Raw genomic sequence first — 15,483 nt, forward strand, 5'->3', positions numbered from 1 at the left:
ACTACATTCAAAGAAAACATTTTTGATCAAATTTTAGTTTCCTAAGGCTTCACACGGAGAATGGATAAAAGGGGAACAAAATTGGAACTAGTTGGGAGGGGGAAGGGTGATGATGGTGGTAAGAAGCAAAAAGGGAGAAGGTCAGTTGACAGCATACTGACTTTGAAGTAGTACCTAGGAGACATCCAAGAGGAGCTGCACACAAACCCAGCTTCAGGGTTCAGGAGAGCGGACTAAAAATATGGATAGCTTCCGAAGTCATCACTGTATCAATGGCAGTGAAATAACATCAGTAGATACTCAACTGTAAGAATGAGTATGGAGAATGTGAAGGAAAGAACTGAGACAGAACTCTGAGAAATATCAACTTTTAAGAGAGGTAGAGAACAGAAGGAGGGTAGACCAGCAAAAGAGACTGAGACAGAACAATAGTGGGGCAAGGAAGAAAACCAAGGAGCATATGGATTAGGAACTAGGAGAGGAAAGTTAAAGTGGAGAGAGAGAATCAAATGCCGCCAAGAGGTGAAGTAAATTAAGAACCTGTATGTATAAGTGGAGGAGAATAGAAAGCAGAGTACTATGGTTAAGAAATAAGTAAACAATGAGCAAGTGGAGATATCAAATATAGAGAATTTATTTAAGAAGTTTGGCTGGGTAGGATAAACTATGGCATATACATATAATGGGGTATGTTACAGAAATGGAAAAGAACAGAATACTGATACATACAGCACAGCATAGATGAATTTCCCAAATATGTGAGCAAAGAGAGATGCAAAAAAGTTCACAATGTATAATTCTATGCTTATAAAGTTCATAAACAGGCAAAAACTAATCTATGGTGACGGAAGTCAGAATCATGGTTACTTCTGGGGAGTGCGGGATGACTACACAGGGAAGCGTGAGCGAGGCTTCTGGGGGCATTGCTAATGTTCTATAACATCATCTGAGTGCTGGTGTATGGGTGTATTCACTTTGAAAAAAGTCAAACTAAACACAATCTATGCATTTTTCGGTACGAACTTATGCTTCAATTTTAAAAAGTTTCTAAAAAAATTTAGTTGTGATCAGATCAACAAGGCAGAAGCTGGAAAGGAATCTGAATTGAGAGACTTTCATTTTTGTTTGTTTTCTTTTCAAAAGATGAGAGAAATGTGCATGCTTCGTTGAAATTGAAAGCTACAAGTATGTAACAAGAGCTGAAGGGGATGGATCCATATTTTAGGAAGAAGTGATGGCAGCAGCAGCTTGTCTGGAGTGGCCCCCAGCAAAGTTGCTGGCCGCAGTGTGGGGGGACTGGCGGGGACTGTGCACTCCATGGAGCTAGCAGGAGCTGGGAAGAGGTGGGAGCCCCACCCCCTTCCGAGTTGGCGGGGCAGGAGCCCTGCTCTGGGCATAGCTGCAGCTGCCCAGCTGTGGCTGTGGACCCAGGCATCCCTGCACTTTCGGGGACCCAGAAAGCCCCCATACCCCTACAGGCTTGGAAGTACCTGCTCCTGACACCTGCTCTGATTTTGGAGAAAAGTTGTGACTGAATCCAGGCACTGTTGTAACCTAGCTGGGTGTGCACACATGCTCAGGGCAGCACTGACACCAGCCCCCGGCTGCCTCAGCCCACTCTGGACTTTGGACATCAACAAGCACAGAAGGGAGGCTGACAGTGGGGCTGAGGGCAGCTCAGCATGGGCCTGCAGGCACTGGTTGGCATGAACAGCCTGGGTGCCATAAATGACATGATTGATGGTGGCAGGAGGCAGATAGGCTCCTGGGCAGAAGTGGGCAGGTCCCCGGTGAAGCCCCACCTTCAAGCCAGGGACAGCCTGAAGCATGGAGGCCAGGCCATCAGCTCTGTGGACCAGAGTGAGAACTTAGGGTGCTTTATCCAGGTCTGCCTATGGCCCAATCAGTGCACACTTTCTCCTCTCTGAAGCCCATAAAAACCCCAGACTCAGCCCCACTTAGGTAGATGACAGGACAACCTGACTACAGATAGGAGCTATCTACTTCAGGTCTCCTCTCTACTGGGGGCTGCACAGACGATTGGGATAACCTGCCTGCAGATAGGAGCTACCCACTCTGGGGCTCCTCTCCACTGAGAGCTATACTTGTCAGGACAACCTGCCTGCAGAAAGGAGCTATCCACTTTGGGTCTCCTGAGAGTTGTACTATCACTCAATAAAGCACCTCTTCACCTTGCTCACCCTCCAGTTGTCTGCATACCTCATTCTTCCTGGATGTAGGACAAGAACTCAGGACCTGCTGAATGGCAGAACTGAAGGAGCTGAAACACAAACAGGGCTGAAACATGGCCCTGCCACTTGCCATGTTGCAGGTGACGAGAAGAGAAGAGCTGTGGCCCTTCCAGGAGCCCAGATCTAGGGGCTCCCCAAGCTAGGGCTGTGACACCCTCTTTGGAGCTCTGAGGTTTCTGGCATCTCCAAGCTTCTGGGTACCACCACATTCCTCTCATCCAGATGCAGGTGCCCACAGCAGAAGCTGCTTGCAGTGCATCTGACCCAGCCACAGGCTTTCACAGAGCCGACACCTGTGCCGATGCCTGGAGCTGCCCACCCTGCCACAGCAGCCAGCGTGTCTGGCTGTGCTCAGTGGCTGGATCCCATGCTCACTCACTCACACACCCCTCACCACTCCATGCCTGGCTCGCCCTTGGGAGTCATGAGATCAGAGCCAGGAGCATGAGCTAAGTGCAACCTGCCAGGCTGAGTAAGCGGAATAAGCCCAGCGGGCCTGAGTAAAATTCAGGCAAAGGTGCTACTGGCCATAGAGGTTTCCAGCTGGCAAAACAACACCCCTAAGGATCCTGTGACAGAAGTATTGGCTTTAACAAGCATGACTCTTCCATCTTTGGAGGGGAAAGAAAAAAAGATGGGTAGGTATGTAGATTTGTTGGTGAGAAGCTGAAAGAGCTGCCGTCTGATGACTCCTGTTTTAACTGCTGGATGGAAAGTAGTCATCTGCTAAGAGGCTAAGAGTAAAGATGATTTTGTTGTTGTTGTTAGGGAGCACAAGAGAGAAAGCCATAAAGAGGACGGAAGTTTGAAGTGAATGGAAATATTTCTTGTAGAAAATGGAAAGAAAGCAAACTAAAAAAAACAAAGAAGGAAAGTCTGGCAATGTTGAGAGCCCAGTTGAATTTAATAGACATGACTTTACAAAAGCACTACTCTGCTATGTAATTTTTCTCTTGCAATGTTCAGTGCCTCCAGTTTTAGAGTGCAGTTGTTTGCAGATCTAAGAGATGCTTAGTAGACAGTGGATAACTATGAGTTTGGAGCACAGCAGAAAGATAAAAATAATGGGTAGAAAGATTCAGAATGCATATGACACATAAATAAATTCCAAACTATATTGATTGAAAAACATTTTATTCCTTTAGCCAAAATTTTAAAAATTTTATCATTTACTGTAACTTACCATGTTAAAAATTGTGACGTCCAATACACTACCCTCCAGAAAATTGGCATGATTCCATCAGGAATGTAACTCCATGGCTTGAAACAAGGATGCTGGCTGTTGAATAAAAAGTTAAAGCCAACTAATCATAAATGACTACTTAAATGAATTATACAATTAATTTGCATGTGGCCAAGTTAATTTACATTCAGATTTTAAATTACTGACTCTAATAATCAATAACCCATAAAATTTCAAAGAAATTTTAAAATTCAAAGCTGACTGCCAAACTAAAAAAACACACAAAAGCAACAAAATAGATTGTTCTGAAAATGTCATTTAAGTTTTCAACTTTCAGTGTATTTTTAGTCATTGGGTAAAAAGAAAACTTAATGTTCAACTAATAGACTAAAAGTGCAACAATCATTAAAAGCAAATGTATTATGAAATAAAATTTCTAATGATTACCTTTAAAATACACAATCCATTTATAGGTTGGGTTTTTTTTTTTTCAGGTTATAGGGGTTGGGAGGGGAAAACATTAGGTAATTAATTCCTGAAAATTGTAATGCTAATTAAATCACTCACTATAACATAGCTTCTATGGAGATGCATGCTAGCAATTATACATAATTCTGTTTAAATTTTTGAAGACATGATGAGTCTCTGATCATAAATTCTGCCATGGAGCCATATTCCTAAGCTAGAAGGATATCCCAAGAACTTGCAACAATCTGTAGCTGCTGCTGATCTTTATCCAGTTTTTTTAATAGTGCTTCAAATGGAAGTAACACCTGCATTTTAAATTTACCTTTTCTGAAGTTAGATTTTTTAAAAATATGCATAAAGAAGCATGCAAATACTACTGAAAGCATTCATAAAGGCTATAGTCAACATATATAAGCTTTTTACTTAAAAGTTCGATATGAATTCAATATAATCTTTGGACAATTTGAACTTTATTAATTTTTTATGTAAATCTATAATGCTTTTGAAGGATGTGCAATATGAAAGGAATACCATAAGTTCAGAAATACTTGTCTTTATTATAACCTTGTAAATTAGGCAAAAGTGAAAATACATCCCACGTTTTTAAATCTGAGATAGGCTGAGAGGAAAAACAGGTTTTAGAAATTACATACTTGGTAAAGAAGAACCAGGACTAAAAAATCAGGACTTCTTCAAGTTTCTCACTACCGTCTACTGAAGGGCTTTGTGGACCAATAAATATTAAAAATTAGATTTAATTAGAATATGATGTAATGAAAAGTCTACTAGGAAAGAATAGAGGTGGGGAGAATTAGTAGAGAATGAGGATAACTTACATAAATATAAAGTCTGGATGGTAAAAACTTTCAATTTTTAAACAATGTGTCCCCTACAATGTTTATATATTTTTTTTAAAAAAGGAAATACCTTGGAACAGGGTTAGCAGTTGCGTACAATCCTGTAATGTTGCTATTCTCAGGAGGGCTTGAATTTGCAGCAGCATGCTTGCACCGGTTGTATATTGTCTAAAGCAACGAATGTATGGTTTAAAAATGAGAATCAAAAGGTTACCAAGTACTTAAAGGACATCAGAGTTTATAAATCTATCTATCTAAACTTACCTTCTTGGCTATGCTTTATTCTTTTTTTTTTTTTTTTCTTTTTGTGTGAGACAGAGTCTCACTCTGTCGCCCAGGCTGGAGTGCAGTGGCGCGATCTCGGCTTACTGCAAGCTCCGCCTCCCGGATTCACGCCATTCTCCTGCCTCAGCCTCCCGAGTAGCTGGGACTACAGGCGTCCGCCACCACGTCCGGCTATTTTTTTTGTATTTTTAGTAGAGACGGTGTTTCACCGTGTTAGCCAGGATAGTCTCGATCTCCTGACCTTGTGATCCGCCAGTCTGGGCCTCCCAAAGTGCTAAAATTACAGGCGTGAGCCACCACGCCCGGCCCTTGGCTATGCTTTTTAATGATCAAATGGCCATATAATCTTTTAATTCAAAACTGACATAACTTAGCTGTCTTAAGAAATAACATTATTTCCAACATGCTGTATGATTAAAATTTGTCTTTTAAATTGTGAAAATAAATTTCACTCCTTACCGTACTAACATCCAGAGGCAGTATGAAGACAATAAGAAAGCAGAGATACCAAGCAAGCAGTGTTCCAATAATCACAAGTCTATGCTGTTTCTTAAAGTCTCCATATCGATGAAGCAGAAATAATGCCAGAAAAAAGACAAAAACAATCTCAAGTCCCAAAGCTGCACCACTCATTATTGAATATTTCACTCTGACTAACCAAAGTTATTCATGTACAGGTCTGGACCATATCTATAAAGTAAAAAGAAGGTTAAAATGCATCATTAACACAGGAAATGACATTTGGAAATTTCATCTGAATATTTATTAGTACATTAATACATTAATCAACTCTTTGGAGAAATGTCATGCTTCACATTGGACTATGAATAAGATTAAAAGGGTAATTCCTATCCTCAAGTACTTATATTTTATTTTTAAAGCACACTTAAAAAATTTCACGTACCTTGTATTTTCAAAAACTTAACAAAAATTATTAGTTCTTACAATATTACAAATTAAGAAGTTCTTATTTTAGATGTGAACAGTTTTAATACAGTGTCATCTGGAGTTTGTTTCTTAATATTATAAGTCCTAACAGAATAGTTTATGCAAATAAGCTGTTAACTAAATCCTAGGAAATTAGATACTTAGTAAAATACATTTTACTAAGATTATTCATCCTCTATAATTTAAGATTTTCTAAAAGAGAGGAAGGAAAAAACGGAAAGAGACCATTTAAAAGTAACCTTTTGTTTTTTGAAATAGTATTTTTCTTTTGTGTTAATTTCACCTAACAACTCAACTTTCATGAAATTCTTACTCACTGCTTTACAAAATATATTTATCACTTCCATTTATCTACATAAATCTTTAAACTTACTTTGATAAATTCTCATTTTTAATTTTTCTACTATTTTATATGCAGAAAATTTATCAATGACTATTAAAGTCATACATTTGAAAACATTCTTAATTTTATGATACAGTCATCAGCGAATAGTTTACTTGATATCTCTCTACTCAAAAAAGTTAGAGTATAGAGATTTAAAGTCTCTATTTTAAAATTGAAAAATTTGATATCTCTCTATACTTAAAAAAATTTACTAATCAAAGGCAATATGAACTTTTTCTCCTTTGTAAAATCAATGTTAGACTTTTGTTTATCTACATACTACAGTATTTCAAGGAATTGATTAATATCCTAACACAGAGAATCAAGAGTGTGATCAACCCAACAAAATAAAATAAGGGGCAGTGGCTCACACCTGTAATCCTAGCACTTCGGGAGGCTAAGGCAGGCGGATCACCTGAGGTCAGGAGTTCATGACCAGCCTGGGCCAACATGGTGAAACACCATCTCTACTAAAAATACAAAAATTAGCCAGGTGTGGTAGCGGGTGCCTGTAATCACAGCTACTCAGTAGGCTGAGGCAGGAGAATCGCTTGAACCTGGAAGGCAGAGGTTGCAGTAAGCCGATATCGTGCCATTACACTGAAGCCTGGGCAACAAGAGCAAAATTCTGTCTCAAAATAAATAAATAAATAACAAAATAAGGGAGAACCAATGAAATACTTCAAATCAACAAACATCTTTAACTAAAACTATTTAGAATAATAGAAAAGACAATTTAAGTACTTTAAATGGTTAAATTTAAATTTATATACAAAATACTCCTACATGAACTATCACATAGAAAAATCACATTTAATGAACAATTTTCTTCACTATTTTTTATATTGGTAAACAGTTTCCATTTCAACTGTCAATATTTTCATTTTTCTTAATTATCTAAAATTGAACTTCTTTCATCAATCTCTACCCTCTTATCCTGCTATATTTTCCTTCAATGCATTTATTCATCTGATATAATACACATTCTTTATATTTATTGTCTCTCCACACCTCTCCCCTTACCCCAGAGACTCTATGAGAGCAGAGACTTGACTATTTTATTCCATACTATATTCCAGTTGTCTGATGTAGTTAGTACCTGGCATACAGTAGTATCAAGAAATATTTGTTGAAATAATAAAAAATACTGTGTAGTTTAGTACATACACTATTTTTCTATTACTGACGACTTCAAAGGCAATGTAAAACTCGTGTAATGGTAAACTGATTTAACAAATACTTATTACAACTCAAAAGGCTTAAAACTCTGAACATTACCAAATACTACTCAAATTTTCAAATTTCATATTCTATGAAACAACTTATACCACAACAAAGTCAAATCTTATGTTTTAAAAAATAGACAAGGTTTTGCCATGTTGCCTGGGCTGGTCTCGAACTCCTGAGCTCAAGTGATCCACCTGCCTCAGCTCCCAAAGTGCTGCAATTACAGGCATGCGCCACAGCGCCCAGCCAAATCTTATTTTTAAGCTAAGCATAGATTAAGTAGTTGGCTGAAAGCTCAATGCAGAATGTGCTGATAACAAAACCATCTTCGAGATCTAGGGTTTTTTTTCTTTAAAAAAACCCAATTGATGTGAGTTTAAATATAACATAATTAACTGAAAATCCTTTTATGACTTGAACTAGACCTGAAATTGTCCAGTGCAAGGAATATGACAATCATACAAAAAAAAGACTAAATATTAGAGATTACCAAAGAAATGCTAAATAAAGCATGGCAGAGCCAAATGATGAAATATTATTGTAGTATAAGAAATAATGTTTGTTAAGATTATTTAATAACATCAGAAAATTACCCTAACAGCAATTGAAAATTTGGCACATATTTTTACATAAGCATAAAAAAGAGTAAGGTAACAATGAAATATATTAAAACATCAATAGTCTTTAGGTGGTAAGATTATGGGCATAATAAGCAAACAACAAAATCAGTTATAAACCTGACACTAGCTATTAATTTTTTTACTATGGCACTCTGTTTTTCAGTCTGATTCATAGTCAGCACTTTAAAGGGTTGTAGATGAAGAAATAGAATTATGGATCCTTTATTCTAGTAATAAATGATTTGGTTACATACCTTCCCACACTTCATGTGTTAGTATCTTACCACTGCTGTAACAAATTACTACAAACTTAGTGACTTTAAACAACATCCATTTAGTATTAATATCTTATAGCTTCTGTAGGTCAGAAGTTCAAACATAGCATAGTTCAACTTAGTTCTCTGCTTAGGGTCACACAAGTTTAAAATCAAGGTGTCAGCAGGTTTGCATCTTTCTCTGAAGAAGAATCCATTTCTAATCTCATTCAGGCTACTGGCAGGGTCTCACACTGTCGCCCAGGCCGGAGGGCAGTGGCATGATCATGGCTCAACATAACCTTGAGCTCCTGGGCTCAACTGATCCTCCCACCTCAGCTTCCAGATAGCTAGGACTATAGGTGCACACCACCACGCCTGGCTAATTTTAAAAAAAAATTTTTTTTGTAGAGACAGGGTCTTGCTATGTTGCCCAGGCTGGACTCAAATACCTGGCTGCAAGTGATCCTCTCACCTTGGCCTCCCAAAGCACTGAGATTTCAGGCATGATCCACCTAGCCAAGCCAAAACTCAGTTCTTTATGGTTATAGGACTGAGATCCCTGTTCCCCTGCAAACTGACAGCTGGCATTTAACCTTAGCTCTAGAGGCCTCTCCCCAGTCTTTGCATGTGGCTCTGTATATGTTTTTAAATTGTATATATTTAAAGTGCACAACAGTGATGTTTTGATATACTGTACATATACAGTGAAATAATCACCATAGTCAAACAAATTAACATATCTATCTCCTCACTCACTTCTCTCTCTGCGTGTGTGTGTGTGTGTGTGAGTGTGTGTGTGTGTGTGTGTGTGTGTGTGTGTGTGTGTGTCTGTGGTCCTGAATATTTTAGAAGCAGCAATGGCTTGTCAAATTCTTCTCACACTTGAAATTTGTTTTACAGGGCTTATCTGATTACACTGGGCCTGCCTGAATAATTTCATCATTTTTACTGGTTCCAGAGATAAGAGCATAGACATTCTTAGGGGTTTATTATTCTGTTTACCATACCATCTATTTCTGTTGAGGCCGAACTATATTGCCTTATTATGACACAGATTAGGACCAGTGATCCCATGAAACTGGAGATAAAAATTGGGGTTTTCCTAACTTGAGAAAATAATAGTTTCAAAGTCCATATCTTTAACCTTGTGCCAACATTCAAGTGATGAGTTGCAAGGTTTAGGGAAGAAGGAGAAGAAAGGGGATGATAATGATGATAATGATGATGATGGTGATACTAAAATGGGGAGGTAAATAAAAATTCAGTTCCATGTGATTAAGCACCACAGTAGCAAAACTTGATTATACTCGAAATCAAAATGGCAATTCATTAAAACTACCAGATTTTAGTGCCCGATGTGTGGGCATATCGTACCCTTCAAAACACCAGTTCTGAAAGTCTTAAACATTTAAAATCCAATTCAATCTTTTTCCAATCATCAAAATATTATTCAATATTACTTTCAAATGCCTTTATAATGGTTTCACAATTAGCGTGTTAATGTTACTGACTAATGTTACTGACTAAAGTACTGTTTCCTGAGTACTTTACGGCTGATAATAGTTTTTCAGGCCAAATACCCTTTGATGGAACTTCAGAGGTTAAGATAATTTTGTAGTTTGAAGAATTCCAAATGTTTTGAGAGAGAGAGAGAGAGAATGGGTACCAAGTGATCAGAACACAAACAAAACACTGACAACAATTTTGTCAAAACCAAAGATTCTGAAACTGAATGAAAAATTTCTGACCGGAACCTAATGATTCATCATTCTCAAATACTGTTAACTTAAATATCTGAGTCTGATGAATCATTAGGTTCCAATTGGAAATTTTATCTAACTTCACATATCTGTATTTTTACTCAGATATGTGCAAAATAATAAAAACCAGGAGACAACTCAAAATCCTAATTATGAAAAATCAAAAGAACCAGAATTAGAAGTGAATGATTAAGTCAACAATTTTCCACCAATAATTAAATTTAAATCTTCCAAACATAATCGTTATTCACATATTTAAAGATTTCAGGTATGAGAGAGTTCAGTTTAGGACACAGACTACTGCAAGAGACTATTACTCCCACTCGAAAAATGAAAAAAAAAAAAAAACCATCATAATATTTTTTAAAGGTACCTAAGAGCTGAGTTGGCGAACCAACCAGGTAACCTGAATTCCAAAATGTGACAAGCCCCTGAGGACAGTGGCATACTGTCCTGCTTTACCTTTTGCAAGGCATGAAGAGAAGAGGTAGCAATCATGTAAGCATATAAGAAAAAAGAACTAAAATTTTACTGAATTCTTAAAGATTTCATACATAGAAATTGCAAGACATTTTGATAGAGAATAATCTGTAAAGTCCTTCCTAATAATAAAATAATTTCAAAAAACGAATAGCTAACATTTAGAATGTGTTCACTAAATTTTAAGCATTGTATTAATACTAGTACCTGCCAAGCTTTATCAAATTAGACCTCACAACCTAGTAAGAAAGGGCTGTTCGTTTCCTTGCTTAACAGAAAAAAAACAGTGCAGAGAGGTTAAGTAACTTGTCCAAGTTAACAGAGCTGGTGAATGGTAAAGCTGGGATTCAAATAGAGGCATCTTTACTACAGAGCCTGGATCATAATTACATGTCTCTTCTCTAATCTAGACATAGTTTCTTAATGCAATTTAAATTGCTTAATGATTTATTTTGTTCAGTCTTCACAGGGAACAAATTAGAAACTTTCTCCCATTTCTTTTAGATATATCAGGACAGAATGCTTAGTCATGTTTAATAAAGAATTTAACGCAAACTTTTTACATTACAGATTATACTACTATTACTTGATTTAAGGGTAATATATGACTGTACTCTACATGGGAAAAGTGGAAAACATAGAGTAAATTAGAATCCGTTTGTTCTTGCCCCAAGCTGCCTATCTTAGAGCATTAAATTACAATGAATTAAAGATCTACTTAGTTCCAAGCACCATTCATTCATTTAGCAAATATTTACTGAACGCCTACTATATGGTGAGCTCTGTTCAAGGGGCTGGAGATAGAAAAATCCAAGCAAAGTCCCTGCCCTTAAAAAGTCTAGTGGGAAGAAACAGGCAATTAAAAAAAATACATTAGGGGGTGATAAGGGTTATGTAAACAGGTAGCTGCCACCACCACAGAGACTATCAGTTCTGGAAATACATTATTCAAGATTAGTTTGGCTACACATAACAGAAAAGTCCAATATAGTACAGACTTATACAATGCAGAATTTATTTCTCGTGTAAGTCTTGAGATAGGTGGTTATGGCAAGTTAGCAGATTATCAGAGGCCCAGGCCCCTTCTATAGTCCACATCCTTAGCAGGTGGCTTTAATCCTTATGTTCCAGGACAGATGCTGGAACTCCAGGAATCCTATCATCATCTAGACAGCAGGATGGAGAAACAAAGAAGGGTGGACCGTCTTCCTTTTAAAGAGATGTAAGAATCGGCTGGGCACGGAGGCTCACGCCTGTAATCTCAGCACTTTAGGAGGCTGAGGTGGGTGGATCATCTGAGGTCGGGAGTTCGAGACCAGCCTGACCAACATGCAGAAACCCCGTCTCCACTAAAAATACAAAATTAGCCAGGCGTGGTGGCGCATGCCTGTAATCCCAGCTACTCAGGAAGGCTGAGGCAGGGGAATTGCTTGAACATGGGAGGTGGAGGTTATGGTGAGCCGAGATTGCGCCATTGCACTCCAGCCTGGGCAATAAGAGTGAAATTTCTTCTCAAAAAATAAAAATAAAATTAATCAGAAAAAATAAGATACATCAGTAGCAATCACAATGCAGTTCTTTATGACCAGATAGCAACCTCTATGTACCTACTAATCTCGTCTTCAATGGACACAATTCCTTACGTTAAAAAGAATCTAATGTACCAATTTAAACTTGCATTTATTATATTAAGGCAATAGTCATGATTAGAAGGAAGGCAAAAAAAAATTATTCCCATATTAGGAAGATGAAGTATGTCTGTTACCGGGGCAAACTATCAAACTGAATTTCAAAACTGACAGGCTCTCCCTGAAGTCCTAGAGAGGATCTTGTGTTCACTAATTCAGATGTTGCAAGTATTCTAGTTCCCAGGTAACTCCTAGTAAAACCAAGACTGAACAAAGATATTTCTCATCTTTAAATTTAGAATCATCTCATCGATTAAACCTTCCTATCTATGAGATCTATATCTGAAGTGGGCTCTCCCAATTATTTTACATCTCAAAACTGTTTATTCTCATTATGGCATCTTAAATATTTTTGTTTATTCTTTCTCCTCCATTAGCTTACAGGCTCTCTCTGTTTTGTTCCCTTTCCTGAAGGAAACTATAATTTTTTGTGTCAAAAATATTTTCTCCTATGAGTTGCAATCTTCAGGGAAAGGACGTAGCTTCAAACAAAGGCAAATGCTTTCTCCTTAGCCAAAGTAACATAAAGGTCACTTTCTGTAAAACATCAGGATATTGCATTTTAAAATGCTTTCCATATAACATTAGTTTGATGAACGGCTTAGCCTAGGATTCTGCACCTAGTTCCAATCAAAACCAAGTTGTGAACAGATCCCTTCTTTACACCAATCTCATCTTTCAAGAACGAGCTAAAGGTTCATGAATTCCTTCCTCAAGAGGCAGTTACTTTTCAAGCTAAGGACCAAGCTTGAAACAAGCATATACCTGCACAAGGGAGGTTTAATTTCACTACAGAGCGAATCATTTTTTCAAGGAAACCAGAGGGTGTGTCATACAGCATCACTGAATATTCTAATATGCGATGAAGCTGTTATGCTTCCTTATGAACTTTATAAATCTTCATTTTTATGAGGCTTAGAATTCATCCCCCTTCCCTCTTCCACTGTTTTCCCGGGGTCACAGTTGTAGTATAGTTTGCCCAATGGATTTCGCATGGTCATTGTACCTGGAATATGTCACGCTCCCTACTCTTACTGCCCCCAAACTCTTCTCAGCAGAGATAGGCTGAAAGCAGCTCGCTTTTAGGCGGCGACGCAAACACACGTAGCCAGCTGAGCGACAGCAAGCAACCAAATGGCTTTGCTGGAGGCCCCCTGCGTGCACGGGTAAAGCTCGTTGCAAAATACAGTCCTTTCATTTATTCCCATGTTGCTATTTATGAGACCTGTCAAGGCTGCAAGGGCATGCGCAGCCTTCCCACCACACAGGACCCGCTGGGGTCTCCGGCTCCCCTAAAATTAAACCATTGTCTCTCGTTCCAACGGCGTGTTTAGCTGTTGTGCGTTATTTTACAGATAAAGGAAGGATCCCGTCCACAGACCCAATTCTTAGGGCCGCCTTCTCCCCGACGGAGGAAGAAGCTTCCTGGCAAAAGGACGAACAGGTGCGACGCCAGCAGTTCGCAGCCTCTCACCTGGCCGGCGGGCTGGGCTACTGTCACCACTCAGCAGCCAAGGACTTGGGCCCCGCAGCGGCGGCCACTCGGGGTCTGCCGGGTCCCCTCTCTTTCCGCCTGCTCTCGGCCCCGGACCCCAGACTCAAAAGCGCCTCACGCGTTCCGCCTTAGGCTCACCGTCCGATCTCGCCAGACAGCGTCTGGACGGGACCGGGAAACGGCGGCCGCCACAGCTGTCCAGGTTCTGGGATCCACGCTCAGAGACGACAGCGCTGGCGATCACCAGAAGGCCTGCGGGCTCCCGAGAAAGGAAAATCCGTCTACAGTCCAGCGGCTGACATTTCCCAGTCAGCCGTAGCGCCGCCCGCTTCCGCCTCCCCGCCTACCCCGTGGGCCGACCAGTCCCGCTCCCGCGGGGGGTTGTGGGTATCTCGAAGGCGGGTAAAGCTGCAAGGGAAGGAAGTAAGGGCGAGCCCGTCGGACTACGAAGCGGGACGGAAACTACAATTCCCAGCAGGCCTTGGGCCTCAGTGCGGCCGCGAAGCAGAGCGGGCTGTAGAGCCTTGCGCGCGCAGTGGGGATGGAACGTTGCTAGGCTTAGCGGGTCTGGCTGCTGGGGGCCCGAGCAGCACGCTCGGAGCCGCCGCGCGCCAAAGCGGGAATCTGGGAGGCGAGCAGCTCTGCAGTTAATGCACGTATTTTAAACTCCCGGGCCTGCGGACGCTATGCACAGGTAAACGGATTGCAAAAAGGGGAAGAGCATGAAATGGACCCTCTTAATAATTCTTTTAGGCCGCGAATATCGCTACTGGCTAATATTGTTAGTAATGCTGTTAAGTGAATGGTTGCTTAGCCCCTTCTTGGGGAAAGTGTGAATGGATGGATGCCTTAGTGCGGGGATCAGCGTGTGGTTTTATTTGGCTTCCCTAATTGGGCTTTTCTGCCACCGTTTTCAATCAGTGTATGATTGCCCTGTCTCTCTCCTTGTCTGTTCCCTCCACTGGGAGAAATTCTTGAGGCCTTCTGCAGGATCGTAAGTCAAAAAGCCTTCTCGATTTGTTCTTTTCATTTCTTCGTTTTCTTGGTAACTCGCCGCAGGCACATAAAAAATGCGATTCTGTTAGCTGCTGTGAAGGTTTCCTACAATGCATAAACTGCAGCTTCTTTAATTGCCTTGAAATTATTTATGGGTGTGTTTTCGAAAGGAACCGGGGGTATTGTGCACTTCTGCAGGAAGCACCTCCAGGAGATTCCAGACCTGAGTAGCAACGTTGCCACCAGCTTCACGTGGGGATGGGATTCCAGCAAGACTTCTGAACTGCTGTCAGGCATGGGGGTCTCCGCCCTGGAGAAAGAGGAGCCCGACAGTGAGAACATCCCCCAGGAACTGCTCTCAAACCTGGGCCACCCGGAGAGCCCCCCACGGAAACGGCTGAAGAGCAAAGGGAGTGACAAAGACTTTGTGATTGTCCGCAGGCCTAAGCTAAATCGAGAGAACTTTCCAGGTAAGGACATGAGGGTAAAAATGTCAGTTATGCAAAGGGTGGATTTAGCTATGTTGTTGGGAAACCTTTGTTCAGAGATCTTTAGCATGGGTTCCTTTTAAGATTGCCTAAT

At 40.0% G+C, this 15,483-nt stretch overlaps 2 protein-coding genes and 1 non-coding gene across 8 annotated transcripts in view, besides 5 other annotated features; 1 reads left to right on the forward strand and 2 right to left on the reverse strand.

The window, feature by feature from the left end:
- LMBRD2 (LMBR1 domain containing 2) overlaps positions 1-14,216 on the reverse strand; it is a 53,481-nt gene extending 39,265 nt beyond the window's left edge. Inside the window, exons 1-4 of one of the 2 annotated variants that reach the window (NM_001007527.2) lie at positions 13,885-14,216; positions 5,505-5,735; positions 4,831-4,928; positions 3,436-3,531 (exon numbers count right to left, since the gene is read on the reverse strand). In NM_001007527.2, the coding sequence (NP_001007528.1) occupies positions 3,436-3,531; positions 4,831-4,928; positions 5,505-5,678 (368 nt within the window). In that variant the 5' untranslated portion in view covers positions 5,679-5,735; positions 13,885-14,216. Of the gene's footprint in view, positions 1-3,435; positions 3,532-4,830; positions 4,929-5,504; positions 5,736-13,416 lie in introns of both variants that reach the window. The other variant, XM_011514162.3, reaches the window with a different exon arrangement.
- MIR580 (microRNA 580) lies at positions 10,221-10,317 on the reverse strand. Its single transcript, NR_030306.1, has one exon. It is a non-coding gene; the product is annotated as a microRNA 580 (primary transcript).
- Positions 13,487-13,546: a silencer, noted in NCBI's record as "silent region_15970". NCBI's record gives its function as "represses an Ori minimal core promoter by ATAC-STARR-seq in GM12878 lymphoblastoid cells {active_cell/tissue: GM12878}" and the evidence as "EXISTENCE:reporter gene assay evidence [ECO:0000049][PMID:35858748]".
- Positions 13,487-14,483: a biological region, named in NCBI's record as "H3K27ac hESC enhancer GRCh37_chr5:36151273-36152256".
- Positions 13,500-14,483: an enhancer, noted in NCBI's record as "H3K27ac hESC enhancer chr5:36151273-36152256 (GRCh37/hg19 assembly coordinates)". NCBI's record gives its function as "activates a minimal SCP1, AML or CMV promoter by ChIP-STARR-seq in naive H9 embryonic stem cells {active_cell/tissue: H9 hESC(naive)}" and the evidence as "EXISTENCE:reporter gene assay evidence [ECO:0000049][PMID:30033119]".
- Positions 14,147-14,286: a silencer, noted in NCBI's record as "silent region_15971". NCBI's record gives its function as "represses an Ori minimal core promoter by ATAC-STARR-seq in GM12878 lymphoblastoid cells {active_cell/tissue: GM12878}" and the evidence as "EXISTENCE:reporter gene assay evidence [ECO:0000049][PMID:35858748]".
- SKP2 (S-phase kinase associated protein 2) overlaps positions 14,440-15,483 on the forward strand; it is a 41,420-nt gene continuing 40,376 nt past the window's right edge. For all 5 annotated transcript variants that reach the window (XR_001742203.3, XM_047417536.1, NM_005983.4 and 2 more), the window contains exons 1-2: positions 14,440-14,599; positions 15,100-15,371. Coding sequence is in view for 3 of the 5 variants with exons in the window: in XM_047417536.1 (XP_047273492.1) it covers positions 14,592-14,599; positions 15,100-15,371 (280 nt within the window). In the remaining 2 variants the exon portion in view is untranslated. The remainder of the gene's footprint in view (positions 14,600-15,099; positions 15,372-15,483) is intronic.
- Positions 14,557-14,746: an enhancer, noted in NCBI's record as "active region_22476". NCBI's record gives its function as "activates an Ori minimal core promoter by ATAC-STARR-seq in GM12878 lymphoblastoid cells {active_cell/tissue: GM12878}" and the evidence as "EXISTENCE:reporter gene assay evidence [ECO:0000049][PMID:35858748]".

Source organism: Homo sapiens, chromosome 5 (assembly GCF_000001405.40).
Source record: "Homo sapiens chromosome 5, GRCh38.p14 Primary Assembly".
NCBI lineage: Eukaryota > Metazoa > Chordata > Mammalia > Primates > Hominidae > Homo > Homo sapiens.